We start from the raw sequence: 19606 nt of genomic DNA, 5'->3' as shown, positions 1-19606 counted from the left end.
CTTACAAATTACAAAATACATGATTTTGGTGTCATAATTTTATACGATATAATAAATAATACTTTATTGAGGTTATATCTTGATTGATTATATAATTTTCTCCATTACTTTTCTGGTCAATTGTTTACTAGATCAACAGAATTTATATTTTTAGCAACTTCATTTTCAATTGATATAACTTCAGTGACATCAGTCACTCCTGGCAAATGCAAGATCACAAATACTTTTTGATAAGTTTTTATTTTGCAAAGTATCTTTCTCTGATGCAACTTTTATGAAACCATTAAGACTGTTTTATAGACTGTAGTAACATTCAGAAGTTTCTGATGAATTATACACTGAAATATAAATGTTGAAATATCTAGAGCTGATGATTCTCTTCACCAATATTTTTCTAAAAAGATTTAACTCTTTATACAAATCTGTTTTATGAAAGCCTGAATTTAATTTTAAATATAAATGTATGCAATGGAATCTTAATGTTTCCTCTGACATACACTGTAACTTGTGGAGGTTGTACAAGAAATTGAAAGGGACTTCATGATTTTCGTATAGTTCAAAATGCCTGTTTTACCATTCCATTTTTGTATCTTCAATTACAAAGCAAAACTCATCAATTATTGGTTTCCCCAAAGCATCATATAAAAATAATGTTCTTATCATTGACTGGAATAATCTTTAAGTTTAATTTCTATTTCTAAGCCTGTGGATTTTATTGCAATGTCCATGTGTATGCCTTCCTTTTGCAATAATTTATTGACAAAGTTTATTGCCTGAGCACTAACAATTTCTGTTCTGGTGCTCAGGATGGAGAGTTAATATTTTTGCAAATCCCACAGAGACAGCCTCCGGCGAGGTATGGGCAAGCTGGCCTCCCACCTTGGATCCTCCTGTTGACTACTTTTGAAGTCGCTTCCTGCAGCCTTTGCTGCCATCCACTGCCGTTTCTATGGCTGCTACCACCATTATCTCCATCCCTTTAAGAGGCCCAGGTTCTGATGTGCCCATGCCCTCAGGACTCCAGGACTATGACTACCCAGGCAAGCATGTGCACACCTGCACACCACACCAACTGCTGTGCACGCATGCCGACTGCTGGGTCTTTAAGCCTGAACTTGTGTGTGCAGGAGCTGCCACATATGCATGTGGGTATGGTGAAGCAGCAGCAGCAGCAGCTCATGCACACACAGGTTACAAATAAATTCTTAATCATTTTACCTCTCAATTTGTGTTTAGTATGTACAAAACACAAATTGAGAGGTAAAATGATTAAGAATTTCAAGACAGTCACAGCAGAATATTTCAAACATGGGGACTTCCTCAGCACAGGGCTCTGTGTGACTGGATTGTATGTCCATGAAACCAGCTCTGGATGTCACGCTAAGAAATATATTCTTACATAGTAGAGAGTAGCATAGTAAAGAGTAGCATGGTGGTTATCAGAGGCTGGTGGGAGGGAGGGATGGGGAATGAGGAGATGTTGTTCACAGCGTACTAAGTTTCAGATGGGAGGAATAAGTTTTAGAGACCTACGGCACAGCATGGTGACTACAGTTAATGTAATACATATTTCAAAATTACCCAATGAGGATTTTAATTCTCATCACAAAAAAATGATAGGATGTGAAGTGATGGCTGTGTTAACTAGCTTGATTTAATCATTACACAATGTAAACATGTATCAAAATATCACATTATATCCCACAAATACATAAAACAAAATTACTATTCATCAATTAAAAATTTTAGAAATGCATTTTTTGCTGAAAAAGTTAAAAACTTTGGAAGTATGAAGCAGAGGAGTGATATGATGACATACCATTATCTGCAGTGTGAAAAATAGACTGTATTTGAAAAGAAGTAGCTCTACATAAGCATGCTTATTATCCAGAAAAAGGGGATGCATAGTTCCTCCTGGGAGTAGCCTCCTGTGTGGGTGAAGAGGTGCTTGGACAAGAACATTTTAACTGCTGTATCCTCTCCACCCACCACAGGCAGACCTGTCCTCATCCTGTGCAGATGGCTGTCTAATAGCCATGAGGCCATTGATTGCTCTCTCAAAGAGTTCATTCTACAGCCATGTGCAGCCTCAGCCCCAGCACTAACATGAGTACCCCACAGAGACAAAAATCACACTTGCAGGGACTGGAAGATTGGTGCTTGCACAGTTGAAATATGCAAAACTGTTCATGCTACTTTGTGGAAAGAAGAGGGGCTTCAGTCCATTAATTCCTCATCAAATACACCTTAAATTCTTAAGAAACTCAAGCATCTGAGAGATTTCTTCAAACCACTCAGATCCTATATTCTACTCACTTCCTAAGAGTGCATATGTGCCAGTAGAGTAGCTGCAGTTACTCGAGGCTCATCGACACTGAAACACTTCTCGGTATTTATGGATCGGTGAGATCTTTAGGGCCTGAATTATAACAAATTAAAAAGGAGGAAAGTTGTTGACTACGCTAGACTCTATCGTTTGTAAAAATTTGAGATTCTTTAAGTCTTTTCAAACAAAACAAAGGGTTACTTATTCGCTTTCATTTCATGTCATGCTATTCTTCTTGCATATTCCTTAGCCATTTGTAGGAAGTCTGATCTAGTGGTTTTAAAATTTTAACATGTGTAAGAGTTTCCTGAGCATGCATTCAAAACGTGAGCTCCTCATATTGCACCAGAAATACTGATTCAGTGTGTCTAGACCTTGAATACGTCCTTTCATCAGGCTTCTCCACTTGATTTTGATATAGTTATTCCAGAGACCATGCTTTGACAAATGTTCCCTTAGTTTTTAAAACTTGAACCTGAAATTTCTATTTAAGAAACATTCAAATATAAAATATATTGTCTGAAATTCTCTAATACTGTGGATTTAGGAAAAATTTATATCCAGTAAGTGTTCCTGGTTAGTAATACTTCAAGAAAGAAAGATGGAGTCCCAAGGTTAACTGTAATTAATTCTGTATATTATCTCCACTTTTATCATTTCTTAAACATTTTAACATATTAAAAGCTCTGAGAATTCCTAAATGAAAGGAATTCTTATTTATTGGATTGGTGCAAAAGTAATTGCGGTTTTTGTCATTAAAAGTAAGTTTATTTATTTTTAAAATTTTATTTAATTCAAGGTTTCCTACATTTGGTAGAGTATGGAATATTTTTAATCCATGTAACATTTCTTGATACATACAGTGTTCGTACATAGAAATGGAAGTATATCTTGGTATATAAGGACTTCTGAGAAACAATGTCCGGAAATGTTGCTTTCATGATTGAAGAGGATTAAACACAACATAAATATGTCATATATTCACATATAAAATATATGTGTTTTTATTTAACATGCATACACATATAAGCTTACATATTTATGAGACTATTATGGAAATTTGAATTCTAAATAATTTAGAAATAATAATTTGTTACCATAAGAAAACTGGTTTTATGTTATATTAAAAAGAAGATTCCTTAATCTTTTAAAGATACATTCTGATATATTTGTGGGTGAAATTATTGAGGTTTGGGATTTGCCTCCAGATAATTGGAGTTGTGGAAGTAGGTTAGTGTATAGATTAAACAAGATTGATAAGAGTTGCCTTCTATTGACTCTGAGTGATGTATACATGAGAGTTTCTTATACTATCACCTCTACTTCTGTGTGTGCTTGCAATTTTCAATAATAAAAGGAAGAACATGTTGGGGGAGAGTGAATATTTACATACAGAATAGGGAGGAACATTTCTCATTCACTTTCTGAAATCATAAGAACTAGCCACTTTTTGAAGATTGCCCTAAATATAAATGACAATCATTCATGAAGAGTTTGTAAAACCACAGAATTTTAATATTTACCATTTTCAATCTCTGTCAGTGAGCTAAAAGTTATTATATAAAAACAGCTTCATCTAGCAGTCCTATTCTTAAGAAGAGTAATAGAATATATGATGTGACGCTTTTGATGAATAGCCTTACTGAAATTCACATTTCATAATAGCCAATGATGTTTCCAGAATGCATTTTAGTTACGGGGACCCCAGCAGACATGAAGACTAATTACATCAAAACTTATGTCAGGACCATTTATTGTGATTTCTTTAAACACTTAAAAATGGGACTGCTTCTCTATATCAATGGCCAAATAAATACACTCTTACCTTTCATGATCTCTAACTACATTTTTAGAAGCAAGGGGATGGCAGTTAAATGTATAATTCATCTTTCCTGACCATACAGAAAATATTGTTTGTTTGTTTTGTTTTTTTTTTCCTTCAACTCAGTTGAAACCCTTATCAATGTCACTTTTCAGAATAATAACTGCTAAGGTGTTGCTGAAGTTATAAACTCCTCTCAAAGGATAGACAAAAGTGTAAGAAAAATTATCAAACTCTTCCTCCTGTACAAACATGGGGCTCTTCCTTTATTTATCTATGACATTATAGAAAATGTTGCTAAGAAATCAATATTAAGTAAACTAGTATATAAATAGCACTTCAAATAGGTGACAAAATTCTCTCATATTTTCTCTTGCTAGTTAACTTGCAATGTCTAGAAATAAATACCTTTAAAAATTGGTCTTTTTTCTAATGAATTCCTCAGAATCTCAAATTACGCTACATATTAAGATATTAGTCCTTTCCGTTGCTCTTTATTACTTCCTCTATATACATGGTTTTCCTTCCAACTGTAGAAACTGAATTAAATAGACAGTTTTCCAAAGAAGACATACAAATAGCCAATAGGTATGTGAAAATGTGCTCAACATCATAAATCATCAGGCAAATGCAAATCTAAACCATGATGAGATGTCACATCACACCTGTTAGGATGGCTACTGTCAAAAAGACAAGAGATGACTGTTATCTAGGGTGTGGAAAAAGGGAGCTCTTACATACTGTTGGTGGGAATATTTATTGGTACAGCTATTATGGAAAACAGTATGGAGGGTTCCCTAAAATTAAAAATAGAGATACCATACAACCCAGCAATCCCTCTTGTGGATATATATCCAAAGAAAATAAAATCAATAGTCAAAGGAATATCTGCACTCACATGTTCATTGCAGCAGTATTCATGATAGTTAAGATATGGAGATCACCTAGTGTCCATCAGTGGATGAATGGATAAATAAATTGTGACATGTGTACACAATGGGATATTATTCAGCTCTATAAAAGAAGGAGATACTACCATTTGCAACAATATAGAAGAATCTGGAAGAACTATGCTAGGTGAAGTAAGCCAGGCACAGAAAGAAAAATCCTGTATGATCTAAATTATAGGTGGCATCAAAAAAAGTCAAATACATACAAATAGATACTAGAATGGTGGTCACTGAGAGCACAAAAGTGAGGAAAATGGGAAGATTCTGGTCAAAGGTACAAAGTTATTGTTATGTAGAACAAATAAGTCTAGAGATAGAATGCACAGCACAATGATACAGTTATCTGTGTATATATATATCTGTATACTGTATCATAAATACTGTATTGTATACTGAGAACTTTCCAAGAGTTTAGATTTCAGGTGTTCTCATCGCAGAGACACACACAAAAGAGGCAGCTATGTGAGGAAATGCATAAGTTAAGTTGCTTAGTATAGTAACCACTTTATTGCACATAAGTAGGTCAAACATTTAAGGTGTTGTACCCCTTAAATATATGAAATTTTTATTTTTTTAAGTGATGGGGATTCTCTCAGGTTTTGTTTGTTTGAAAGCATCTTTATTTTGTCTTTATTTGGGGGGATTTTTAAATAGGGATAGAATTCTTATTGGTATTGTCTTTAGCGCATTAAAAATGTCATTTCATTTTCTTCTGGGTTCCTTTTTTCTTTGTTATATCAACTGCTAGTCTTGTTTTTTTGACTTAATGTATCTTTTTTATCTGATTTTTTTCCCTTTAGTTTTGCTACTGTGTGCTTAGCTAGGCTTTCCTTTGCATTTGTCTGAATTGGGACTCACATAATTTCTTGAATTGGATACTTATCATTTTCAGTTTTTAAAAAGTATCTGGCAAATATTTCTTCAAATATTGCTCATGCCTAATTTTCTTTCTGTCCTCTCTGCTCCTTTTGGAACAATTTTATATATGTTAAAAGTTATTCACTATATTCCATATTTTCCTTATGATACTTTCTGTCTTTCCCATTTTATTCTCTCTCCATGCTGCAGTTTAGACATTTTCTATTCACGCATCCTCCCCTTTACTAATCCTCTTTCTGTTATAGCTATCCTTGTGTTAAATCAATGTATTCTGTTCTTAATGTTAGCACTTGCAATTGTCAGTTCTAGAACTTCCATTGGAGTTTTAACAGATGCCATTTCCTTTCTGAAATTCTCCATCTTGTCATCTATCTTTTAATATATTAATCAAAATTATTTTAAAGCCCTTGTCTGAGAACTTCAATATTTCTATCGCTGTGACCTGTTACTATTATCTGTTTTTTTCTCTGAGTTTTGGTCATTTGGTCATAGCTCCAGTTATTCCTAGTAACGTTTTATTGAATGCTAGACGTTGTGGATCAAAAATGTAAGTGATTTTATAGTGTTATATTTGTACCGGGAAGATTTACTTTTTCAAGCATGCAATTATAAAAAGAGCCAGAAGCTGGTCCGAAACTGATATGAATTGAGTCTGGATCTTAGTCATTTTAAGTCCTGGTCAATTTTATTTTATTTTGTTTTGTTTCTTACTAGGACATAGTCCTTCAGATGTCCTGACTCAAGGTTGAGCTGCTTAGCAGACTTCATTCTATTTGGTTTATTCTGAACCTCTATTTGTGTCTCCCTTTCACTGTAAGTCTACCAAAATTTCTGCTGAGATGTTTTCTACTTTCTGATTGGTTTCTTCATTCCTGATTTATACTGCTTAGGAATTGACAAATTTCTGAGAAGAAAAACAGCAGGGAATGTGGGGCTAACCTCTCTGTGCTTTTGTTTTCTCCAGGCTTCTGCACCTCATGTTGCAAACACCTTGGCTGTTGTCACAATTCCTTGAAAAAACTGTTTTTGTTCATTTTTAAATATTTTAACAATATTTGTGGTGAACATCAGTGGGAGGTTGGTGTGATAAGCTTACTTCAACTAGTTAAGACAGATTATTCTCCTTTATTATTAATGTTTCATAATAGATTAAGTGTATTGGTAAAAATATTTAGGCCATTTATCAGTAGGTTTTTAGATAATAGCTTGAAGAGTATGATAATTGCTGTCAGTTAGAGAAAGAAATAAGTATAATTTTGGACAGAAGTAGAGATTCCTAACATAGAAATGTACTAATTGTTTATTCAATCATCTATTGAAAACCATTTAATTAGTATTGCACCCTTACCTTATTCCAAATTATACATCAGTAGGAATGCTGAACAAAAGGAACAAAACCAAACTGAAGAACCATTAGAAGATTTCAGTCCTAAGAGTGACAAAATCTTGCCTATATTTTAATAGCAACATTGTAGCTTCTAGAAGGGAAACAAAGAATTAGGACAAATGCTTTTGAAGCTATTACTGGGTTTCCAAGCTTAACATTTATCAACAGTTGGTCCAAATAATTTTTTCTTGTGTGTGTCAAGGTGTGGGTTTAGCGTGTGTGTGGTGCAAGGCAGCGGATGGGGTCGGGTGAGACCCTTCAGTTGTGAAAACCAAAAATATTTGCATATTTTGCCAATGTCCCCTGGGAGACAAAATCATCCTGGTTGAGCCATTCTGTGCTATAGCAATACTCTGGGAAAGAGATGGCATGGCTTAAAGTTTGGTCATTGAAGCGGAGAGAAGTGGTTAGATTCTGTATGTACCTTGAAGCTGAAACCATTTTGGGGCAATTGAATATGGGGTTTAAATGAAAGAAAAAAATTAAAAATAATCTCAAGGATTTGGTCTAAACAACTGTCAGTGCAGACTGTCATTAATATAGTGGAGAAAGAAGACAGTAGAAACAAGTTTGGGGAGTAAGAATCAGGAGTTCAAGGTTAGGATATAGTAAATTTGTAAGTGAAGATGATAAAATAGGCTGTTGAATTTGGGGATTGAAGAGAAATATCTGAGCTGGAATTAGCTTGATTTGAGTTTGGGAATTAACTTATAGATAATATTTAGAAACATAAAACTGGATGAGATACAAAGGGTAGGTACAGCTATAAAATGAAGACTAAGAGAGAAAAAAAGAAAAAAAATACGTGTATACATACATGTATATAGAATATATAGAATGTGTATAGAATATACATGTATGTTTATATACATACATATAGATGAATATAACCATAAACTAGACTACCAGTTTAGAAAATATAACATTTAAATAACAGGGCTTTTAGGAGAAGGAATGGAATAAAATATTAAATTATTCAGAAAGATATTTTAGGACCAAGAAGTATGAGTTTCTACAGCGACAAAGCCTGCCAAATGCCCAGTGTAATAGTTGATAACAGATTTAAAACATGACACATTATCTTGAAATTGTCAAACATTGGAGAAAACAGAATTCTAGAGAACAAGAGGGAAAAGGTGTCACAAACAACAGATTAGAAATCAACAAAGTTTAGGCTTTCAGAGCACAGTAACGGCTCAAAATTTCTGAGAAATAATGGCTTCCAGTCTAGAATTCTACTTCAAACTAAACCACTAATAAAATGTAAACACAGAATAAAGACACTTTCAAACATGAAAGATTAAAAAAATTGTATATCTCTTGGATTATTTCTCAAAAATCCACTGGAAGGTTTAATCAACCAAAGTGAAGGAGTATGTTAAGAAACAGAAAGGCATGGAGTTAGGCAATGGAGCGTCAACACACAGGGCAGGCTGATATTGAAGGGAGACTATTGAGATAGATTTGGGAAATGAATTGTTGGCAAGTCCGTAGAAAACTAAGCAAACGAACAAAAGAAGGGAAAGCAAACACAGGAAAATCAAAGCTAATACTCTGAAATAAACCTTGGACAGAGAAAAGCAGGCAAACGAACAAGGAAATCGGTGTGATGGGGTCTTCATTTCTCCAGGTGTAGCAAGCCAGAAATAAAGGAGTTGTTTTTAGTCTTTAGTTAATAAGCTTTTCCTTTTTGCAAATACAATCCGTAAGTCTAAAATGTTTTATATCCTCTTAGACAAGTGCATGATTATCTGCTCACACGTGTATCTACAGATTAAAATCTACATGCAGCATTTATCATATTTCACCACAGAGTAAAATTTAATTTCAATGCATAAAGTAATCATGGTCAATATATTCCAATTTACCTTCAGGTACCATTACTCATTTATTTACTACTTCAACATTTAAATGGTTTGGAATAAATATTAAAAGACTACTGAGAACCCCAGATTAAAAGAAACAAGTGAAAAACCAGTCTAGAGAAAGCATTGTCTAAAAGTTGAGATGTCTAAATGAGAAAACATGCAATGTTACCCTATTTCCCTAGCAAATAATATTGTAAAATGTAAACACAGATCTTTTATATTAACAAATAGTCAAAGCAGGGCCTGACATCTATTTAAACAGAACATGCTCTGTAGATTCTGTGTAATAAATTAGATATGACAACTACTCTGTTTCAAAGCTATTAGTACATAATAGGCAGTGACTACATATTTATGGCATCATATTTATATTTCTTATAAATAGATAGTGTTCATTCAGACTATTCTCCAATAGTAACTTCATGCTGGCTGTAGCGAATTATACAATAGAAGACTTCTGTACCTTTTTTGTTTTGGGGGACAGGATCTTGCTGTATTGCCTAGGCTGGAGTACAGTGGCATGATCATAGCTCACTGCAATCTTGAATTTCTGAGCTCAAGTGATCCTTCCATCTCAGCTTCCCAAGTAGCTGGGACAACAGGCATATGCCACCATGCCTTACTAATTTTTCTTATTTTTAGTAGAGATAAGGTCTTGCCATGGTCTTGAACTCCTGGTCTCAAGCAATCCTCCCACCTCAGCCTTTCAAAGTGCTGGGATTACAGGCATGAGCCACCACACCCAGCCTGTAGTTTTGTAGAAGATGAAAGTAGAAATTTTTATTGTGCCTGTCAATAGGTGTTAATACAAATGATATTTTCTTCTGAACGTTTCATGTTGGGATGAGGGAGTCAAAATGAGAAAATAAAACCCAAAAAAAGAGGATAAGGCTAAGTTTGATTCATGTGATTATTTTTTCCCCTTCCACGCCCTTCAACCCCATTCCTCTTTTGGACTTGAAAGCATTTGGTAACTACTTGCTTGAGTATTCAGGATCCAGAGACTGAAAACATAGCTTGCTTCTGGGGAAGTCTTTTCCATCTTAATGACATAGTTTATTCCTAAAAAAAAAAAAAATGGCCCTAGAGCATAAGTGACCACTGAGCTAATTTAGAGAGAGAATGCCTAAGAAGAAGAGTAGCCTAATTGCTTCTTTTACGGTCAGAATAGAGTCAAGGTAAATTTACTAAATTTCCAATTCTTAACTAAAAACTCAAGAAACAAGTGAGCACAAGTGTTTGCAGGTTTGGGCAGGAAACTAAAGATCAAAAAGACTTAATAGTTTGAGATTTATATATACATACATGTATATATGCATTTAGTTACCTGCAGAATAAACGTATCGGTTGAAGTGTTTTTTTATTTTAATAAAAATAGGAGATGGATAGCTAGTGGTTTATACTGTATGAATGACACCAAACACAAAAGAATACACAATATAAGGTAGCATTTGAATGAAATCTATGGTGAGAAAATTATTACAGTAGCTGCTTCTAGGAGTGTAGTAGGAACAAGGATTAAGTGACATAAAAAAAGTTCTAGATGTTGGATGATAATGATGTTCTATATCTTGTGTGTTTTGGGTTACAAATGCCATTTTCAAAATTTAGTGAATATACATTAAAATTTATGTATTTTATTATATGTAAATTTTACATAAATGTGCATTTACATAAATGTGCATTTATGTAAAATTTACATATAATAAAATGTAAATGCACATAAATATTGCACTCAAATGAATTTTTACATATAAAAATGTACATATAAAATTGCACTCTAATGAATGAAGGCTGCGGTATTTAGGAGGAAGTACTAATATCTGCATGTTACTATACTTTTATTCCTGCTAGACTTTGAACAATGCGATGTAAAATTGTCTCATGCATTTTTTAATATGTACATTTGTTGGAAGATGGAAAAGAAGGAAAGCTAAAGTTCTGCCACTTACTAATGCAGGGACCTTGGGCAAGTGGTTTTAGCAACCTATTCCTCAATCTCCCTTGTATAAAATTGAGATAATAATATCTGCTTCAAAGCATTACTCTGAAAGTTGAAATGAGATGATATACACAAAGAACCTATCATGGTGCCTAGGACAGAGAATGTATTTAACAAATAGTAATGAATAATAATAATAAAGAAAACAAGATGAATAACCATAAAAACTAAGTCGTCAAGTTCCACGTTAGTTAGTAATGGCAGGTTAATATAATTCCAGAGGCTGTGTATTGACCACTTTAGTAAGAGTTCTATACTCTTCTGTGTCTGGTCTCCTTCAACTGGCATAAACCACTAGCTATACACCCCCTATTTTTATCAAAATTAAACAAAACTTTGACCAATAATAGGTTTAAACTATGCAGTAAAAATATCTTGAAAAAAGTGGTAAAACCTATGCTGTATTAACATCTATCCTTTACATTATATTTTGTAAAATATACATTAAGAAAAAACACAGCTATATGTCATATGTGGTAATTTAATCTGAGTGACATATGCTGCATTTTAAAAAAGATTGTGAACTAAATTTTCATGAAGACCAAGACAACATTGATCTTAGTGGGCTTGCTTAAATTGATGCGTGTTTTTGCTTGTTTTTACATTTTTACTTGAAGAGATTGTAGTATTCACGTTTCAATAATTCACGCAGCATCACTTTCAATATTGGAACAGGAAATTTTTTCATCTGACCAGTATAATAACTCCTTATATATTTTCTCACCTTGAAAGTAATTTTTACCATCACTAATTTTTAAATCAAATGTTCATTCTGTTGAAATGCTTTCAGTCATTCTGTGTAGGAAAGTGGCGTGTGGAACTGAACATTTTTGGGGAGATTTTAGTGCTGCTGGAGACTTCTCTGGTGTTTTCAAGTACTACGATATGACAAATGTATTCCAATACATCTTGTCATTTCTCTGAAAGTGTACTTTTGGTCTGCTCAATCAAACTGGGCTTGTCAATAAAGCTGAGCTTGATACCTCAAATCCTTCAAACTGCCTTCTAGAGCCACGAAGCCTCCAATTATCTACATATCTTGGGCATTTCTCTTAGTAAACTTAGACCCGTATCATTCTGCTGGAGAAAATGGATAGGCCACTCTGTAATGCTGGTATAATAAAGACTTCTATCACGAAGAATAAACAACTAAATGAGCAGCAATAAACTTAATTTGCACATTAGATATGCTTTTCCAAGTTCCGACATTTCAGTTGAAAATAACACTGAAGCAATGAGGCCTATAATTGAACATCCAAAACTTCTCCAGTGGGGAAACAAAAACAAATGTTGCCTGCAAACAAGATCATTTTTATAGCCTGCTGTTACTCTGCTTTTTAATAATTTTCCAAATGCCAGATCAAATAATTTCTCCTTTTATGTGATTTTCATATACCTCTTAGTGTATGTACACATTGTAATTTTAATCTCAGTCCTCCAAAATGAAAACACGTAAACTCTCTTTCCTCTTGATTCCTTGTTTGTGCCTCTGAAACATGTCCTTAAATTATACTGGGCATCTTCTGAGGCGCTGGAAAAGCTGCTGCTAATTGCACTCACAATGTTTGAATGGAAAATCGCCTTATCCTGCTGTATTAGTGAAATAGAAATTTCCAACATACAGTGCAGATAACTTCAGAATCCTCTTAACAGAGATAAGCCATATCAGCTAAAAACTAAGCTGGAAAATATCTCACTCTTGTAACTATTATCTTTTCCATGTTATCTAACAACAACATTTCTTGCATGACAGAGGCTGATAAGTAAATTCAAAGGGAGATGATTGTTTTATCAGCTTTACTGAGATTTCTCATTTGCTCCTTAACACTCTATTACTCTTAAGGTCACTATACACTGATTTTGGCTTGAGAAACAAAATTATATTTGATTCTGTAACAGCAATCATATGAATATTACTGATGAGAAAATACACATACATATATACACAACTATTAAGCCATCTTAAGAAACAACCAGATGACTATACACCCAATAGTCAAGAAAATGGTTGAATTGATGTACACTATTATAATTTTTTCCTATGCTAGGCTTCAAATTTGTAGGTTGTAAAATAATAATTCCTTGGCAGTGATGTCTTCAACATTTTTATATGAAAGGGAATTAGAGATAACAGTCTAGTTAAGAGGACATGGTAATAATAGACTTAGAACTGTGCTTGTATGACAGTCACACAATTTCATAAAGATTAAACATTACAGATAAATAATAAAGCAACTTTCTAAGGCTGTTTTTCTTCATACTGTACACACATTTTGTGTTTATTTTATTTATATGTATTTGTGTGGTTAAGTATGTACATGTTTATATTGCATAGGATAGTTCTTGTTAATGACAAAGAAGCAAAAGACCCCAAAGTCCACTTAAAATGGGATGTGGATGTGTCATGAAGGTTAAAATATAGCAAAATTTCCTTCCCATTATTAGGTGTAAATGCATGAAAGTAACTTGATAATCAGGCATAGTGACATCAGTTATGTTATCATGTACCCTTTTTGTATATGTGAGTTATTCTCCTGTACTGTGCTAGAAATACCAAAACAATGAATTCTCTTCACGAATTTTTGGATTTCGATGTAGGTTCAGGCTTGTACCCCCTTAGGAGAGTGAGGTGATCGATGTCTGTCAGAAATAAAAGATTACAAACCCTACAATTAGAAAGTGAATGCATGTAAAAAGGTTGGTTTTTTTCTTTGATGTTCTTTTTTTGCAAAGTGTCCTAAGAAGCTCAGACCCTGAAAAATTGAAAACTGTCCGATTTTAGAGCAAGGAAGCCAGTATGAAAAATATCCCTATGAACTAAGCTGCATAAGATAATAACATTTTATTAAATCAATAAATATTTACTGGGCACATACAGTTCCCAGCAATGTTCTAGGATTTATGATTCATCATTGATTAAAACAAAAATCCCTGCCCTCTTTATGCTTCTGTTCTAGAAGGGAAGAAAAGACAAGAAAAAAAACCATAATAAGTAAGTCAGTTATACAGTTCGTAAGAAGATAAAAAGTGGTACAGAAGAAGAAAGAGTGGAACTGATTAAGGTAACAAGGAATGCCTAGTGGGATAATTTTGTTTCAACAACCTCAGCAAAGAGCACTAGAAATGAACAAACAAAAATGTAAGTCAGGCTTTTTTTTTTTTTTTTGTTAACTGAGCTATCTTGATTAATTATTGTTTTACCTATGGAAAGAGCAGAGTAGCTGGGGATTATGGTTAGATTTATGGAATACTTGAAAGTGTAGATAAACTTATTTCTATCATAAGTACTAGGAACCTAACTTGCAGAAAACATGGCTATATTACACATCTGAAATATGCAAATGTTACATCCAGAATGCAGTCCAGTGGCTTCCGAGTTTCTCAGTTAGTATTTTTGTTAGCCGTCACCTTTTATTTTTCTTTCATCAGTTATTAGTGGACTGTGAATATTATGATGTCAAAGTTTAAGAAACACTGGAGGAAGAGTGCCTATTCATTCAGTTCAATCTACCATTAACTTGTGTTTTTCTTATCCTCCAGAGTGAAGGAATCCCCATCATTGTATTTTAACAGCAAAACCATTGGCCCTCCTCCCAGATCACCAGTATTCTAAAGAAACTTTCTTTTAAAAACTACATTGCTACTGCTGATGTTTTCTATCCCTTCTATTTCACGTTTTAATGCCCTCTGGATTTTTCCATACCTAGAAGATTTAACTGCAAAATGCCTTTTTATCCTTCACCACATTTTAATCTTCTGCTGTAATAAAATTTGCATACTACCTACACCTTCTTAATTTGAAATGATATAATAAATATCTTTTTTTCCCGTTAATGAACTTGTTACTTTTCCAAATATAAAGCATTCACATTTTTCAGTGTCTGAGTATTGCCAAAAATTTGCTGGAGAAATAGTCTGTTCCTAAATATAGCCATAACATCTATCTTGAAACACTTAAGTCCATCTCTGTCTTAAAAATTGATGACAATACAATCTTAAGGAAGAGAAGTTTTTCAAAATATGCCATACTGGTTGGATTTTGACACACCAAGTTTTATCAGTCACATTTCCCCAGAATACTTCAGACAATTGTCGTCATAATGTAATACGCTTGAGACAAGTTGGCAGAAATATCTTCCAGGCTCAAAGGTGGGTGTTTATTTTCCTTGAGATATTTTAAAGGATGGTTGAAGTGTAGCAGCTAACTACTTTTTATTGAATATATTTATTTTAATGGAAAAGATGAGAAAGCACCAAATGCTGATTTTAATCATTTGGGCTTAATTAGCTGCTTAAACTGCTTTATCAAGAGAGCCATTTTTATCATCCAGGAGGCAATGAAATGATAGAAGTGATACAGCTTCCAGTAAACACACTAGTTTTATGAGCTGAGATTCAACAAAATAAAGCAGCAAGGAAAGGGAATAGATACTTCTAATATTAATTATGTCCTTGGTGATAAATGTAGGAACATTTGGATTGATACTGATTTAGAAATCTTAAAAGTAAAGTATAGAATTTATCTCTATAAATTGTATGAGTTTATCTGCTTACTGTGATGAAAATATAATAATGATTCACACAGATTTTAATTTTTTCTCTTTGAAAAGAACTGCTTACTAAAGGTTGTGACCCTGCATTTCATTAGTTTTGTACCTGGAGTTATATAAACAAATTAGCCAGTTATGTATTTGGTAGCCTTATATACATGTAAATATTTCAAATAAAAATAAAGATTCTGAAAGATATTTGACCAAAAAAATGTTATCCAGTGACTTTATCAAAACGTCCATGGCCCCTAACATTAAGGCTTATGTAAAAAGCCAAATAATTTAGGTGTAGGTTTTAACTCGAATGACACTCTGACAGCATTTTCAATTGCCAAAGTATTCACATCTACCATGGTATCCCACTGGCAAAGTGTGCATGTTATTAATGAGTACGGGAATGGATCTCTTAGATAACTTGTGAAATCAACAATTTTACATACACAATATGGTACAGGTTTGACACCATAACACAAGTCATAATATGCCTGCATATTTACAATGTTCATCAAGCACAAATGAAGATAATATGATACCTTTTACAATGAGGCTGCCAGTGTTCTTTGCAGTGCCAAACTGATTTGTGGCTATGCATGTATATGATCCAGCATCTGACCTGGTAATATTATATATCTTGAGGCTGCCATCCTCCAAGAGAAATATTCTAAAAAGAAAATACATCATTAATAGAAGTAAGGCTCTTCAACACTGGTAAATCATAAGTGCTTATTTTTATTTTAAAACTTTACTAAAATCATGGGTGTATGTGATAATATGAATTTTTTCCTTTCCTATTATTCTGTTCTTCATTGTGAGCTATCTCTGAGTCTACATATTACAGTAAATGGCATTTGCTTTTATTCTGACACGATATTGATAATTATCATTCTATAACTTGAATTATCATTGTCGATTTCAAAGCATATTAAAAATAAAAGCAGTGCTTGGTAGTATAATGTCAAGTTGCTTGATGAATAAGAAATGCAACTATTTACTCTGTATTTTCCAAAGTCAACTCACTGGCAAAAATTGAACTTGGCTTAGGAGAAATGCAAGCTAATTTTCACAATTAGTCTGTGTCTTTTTAAACGTGGTCTGTCAGCATTTTCTGTGGCCACAGAATGGGGTGTTGAACCACGACAGTATTTGCCAGTGCTGATGAGTTGAAGAAACTATCTATATGGTTCCATGGCCAGAGGGCCATGCTTATTATGTGGCTATCCCATCAAAAAGAGGAAGGAAGAAGTAGAAAGAATAAGGCTTCATGGGTTAATTATGAATTAATATTAATATTCCTAAAAGAGAGAGTACAAAAAGGAGGTTCATCTGCCAAAGAAGTTCCCATCTTTCATAAAATAATCCATATTAAATTTTCTCTGAAACTCTAGCATAGTCTAAAGCACAATGCCACTGAAATCAGAAAAAAAAAAAAAACCCTGAGATTTGTTCCCTGAAAAATTCACCATCAAATGTAATAAGAGGAGACTGAAAAAATGTAAAAACAAAAATATTCGTCCAATTTTAGGCTACCATATTTTATATCTTACAAATGTAGTTACCAACCTTTTAAAAACATTAGTAGGTAGTCAAGATTGTATCAAAATGTGTGACAACATACTAATTTTTAACAACAGTTTTAAAGGCAAGAAAGGCTAGACAATTGGCATGCATGCCATATCCATTAACAATAACAAAATAGTATTTGCTGCATTGCAAACATATCGTTGTTTCTAATATATGTATAACACAAAATGTAGCTAATATAATTAATTACTCAATTTGAAACACAGAGAATACCAGCCAACGACAATTTGCAGGAAGCCAGCTTCTGACGTTGGATTTATTATTAATAACAGATTCCAAATTCTGTTATCAGTGAGTGGAAGGAGCCACATCTGAATTTAGAATGTTCCATGGCATATAATCAGATTTTTTAAAGTCATTATCTTAGAGTATTCTCCCATAGCAGACATTTAATGTCTTATTTAATTTCTGAGATGTCTAGTGTACTAGATCCCAATTTACATTAACAATTGAATTATGCCATTATTGACAGAGTAACAAAACTATTCTATTATGCACCAAACTCAGGCCAAATATAATTCTTTATCTGATTTGAATTATAAGAGGTAAATGTGAGAAGCTTTTGGGTGCATCTACCCCTAACATTTAGGAATAACTAGGAATATTGAGCAACACAGAAACCTGAACTATTGGCCAATAAAAAACACATGACAGAAATGATAGGTCTGCTGATATCTAAAGGCCACCAAGAAAGTTTTCCAGCCACTAAGTCAATGCCAATGTCTATATTTCATATAATTTTTCACATAACTTCCAGAAAGGAATAATTCAAGTGTGCAGTGGTACCCTGAGTATACTACCCCTTTCAGGCTCAGTAGGTCTTCAATGTTTGCTAAATCGAGTTGAAATTGCCATCATTGAGGCTGATTATTTCTATGAAATCCTAATCAACACATCAATATTTCTTAAGTACTTACTACTGTTTAAGGTACTGAGAGAGCAAACTAAGAAAAGTTAAAATCTGCCCTAGACTAACTAGCTAAGTAGGAGAGAATGAAGTTATATCTAATTATCCTAGTACTCAGGCTTTTTCCAGAACCATTACTTTGCCTTACGTTTAGTAAAATAATTCTGCATGTTAATTATATGGTCCAAGAAGTTTCAGCAGAGTCATCACTAGATGCCCTAAAGATATTCCATGTGTTTACTCCTCAAAATGTGGTCTTATCCCAGACCTAATGAATCAAACTGCATTTTCACAAGACACCCTATGCACTGTAGTACATACAGTGACTAGCATGTACAATTAAGTTTGAGAAGTACTGATCTATTTACTATTAAACTTTAATCTGAAAATTTTTTCTTTACTTCAAAGTAAGACTACATCTTACTTATGATCTTATGAAAATAATTTATAAAAGAATAATAACATACATTTTAAATGTTTTATAAAAATAGCCAAACTAGTAACCAAATTGATTTATGATTTATTAAAATAAACTTTAAAAGTTCTCTCTGTTGATCTAGGATATAGACATTCAAAGATTTAATCATAACTAAAGATTTTATGGCATAACAAACAGTACAGATATTTGAATGTATCACTTAGATTTCTCCTTTAATTAATGAGATATTAAAATATGGTAAAAAAATTAATCTCATGACAATATAAACAGAATTAAACAACCTGATCATTGTCTTAATTTTATTAAGAAAAAATTAAACAAAAACTATAAAAGAATTTCCAGTTTTTTAACATATCTAAACACGTCTTAGCAGAAATGATTTTAAAAAAGCCAAAAGAAGGAACACTCAGTGAAGATCAAATGGCACTGAGCAATTGGCATTTTCAGATAAGGCAAAATGCACATGTAAGAATTAACTGGAACATTTTAATTGATGGTTTTGGTAACATTCATAGAGAGAGACTGATTTTTTTCTATTCTTCTTTTACAATATGCAAAAAAGATACTTTATCTCAAGGATTGGTAATAACATATCAATGAACGACATTAAAATATTCTACCTTCATTTGCATATATGCTTCTCTGGCATTTAAAAAAAAACACACACAGCCAGAAGAATAGATAAGCTTGGCTATCTGTAAAAAGCAGGAAAAATATTCTGATAATAAAAGTAGAGATTTGCATGAATGATTAGTACAAAGCATATAGTTACAGGGAAAAAAGCAGAAGGTAATACCATGATTACATATTATATGTATATTATTATATGAGGATTTAAGGTTGAAGTTATACTACTAATATATAATGAGTCATAAAAATATGTGTGGAAATTTGT

General features: G+C 33.1%; 1 protein-coding gene across 23 annotated transcripts in view; it reads right to left on the bottom strand.

Moving 5' to 3' along the window:
* CNTN6 (contactin 6) overlaps positions 1 to 19606 on the bottom strand; it is a 311194-nt gene that overhangs the window by 35449 nt on the left and 256139 nt on the right. For 22 of the 23 annotated variants that reach the window (XM_011533590.3, NM_001349351.2, NM_001349354.2 and 19 more), the window contains one exon: positions 16318 to 16445. In XM_011533590.3, the coding sequence (XP_011531892.1) occupies positions 16318 to 16445 (128 nt within the window). Of the gene's footprint in view, positions 1 to 8293; positions 10295 to 16317; positions 16446 to 19606 lie in introns of those variants that run through there. The other variant, XM_017006177.3, reaches the window with a different exon arrangement.

This window comes from Homo sapiens, chromosome 3, assembly GCF_000001405.40.
Source record: "Homo sapiens chromosome 3, GRCh38.p14 Primary Assembly".
NCBI classification, from domain to species: Eukaryota; Metazoa; Chordata; class Mammalia; order Primates; family Hominidae; genus Homo; species Homo sapiens.
Note: the sequence above shows the minus strand (reverse complement) of the source record. Positions and strands in the feature narration are given on the sequence as shown.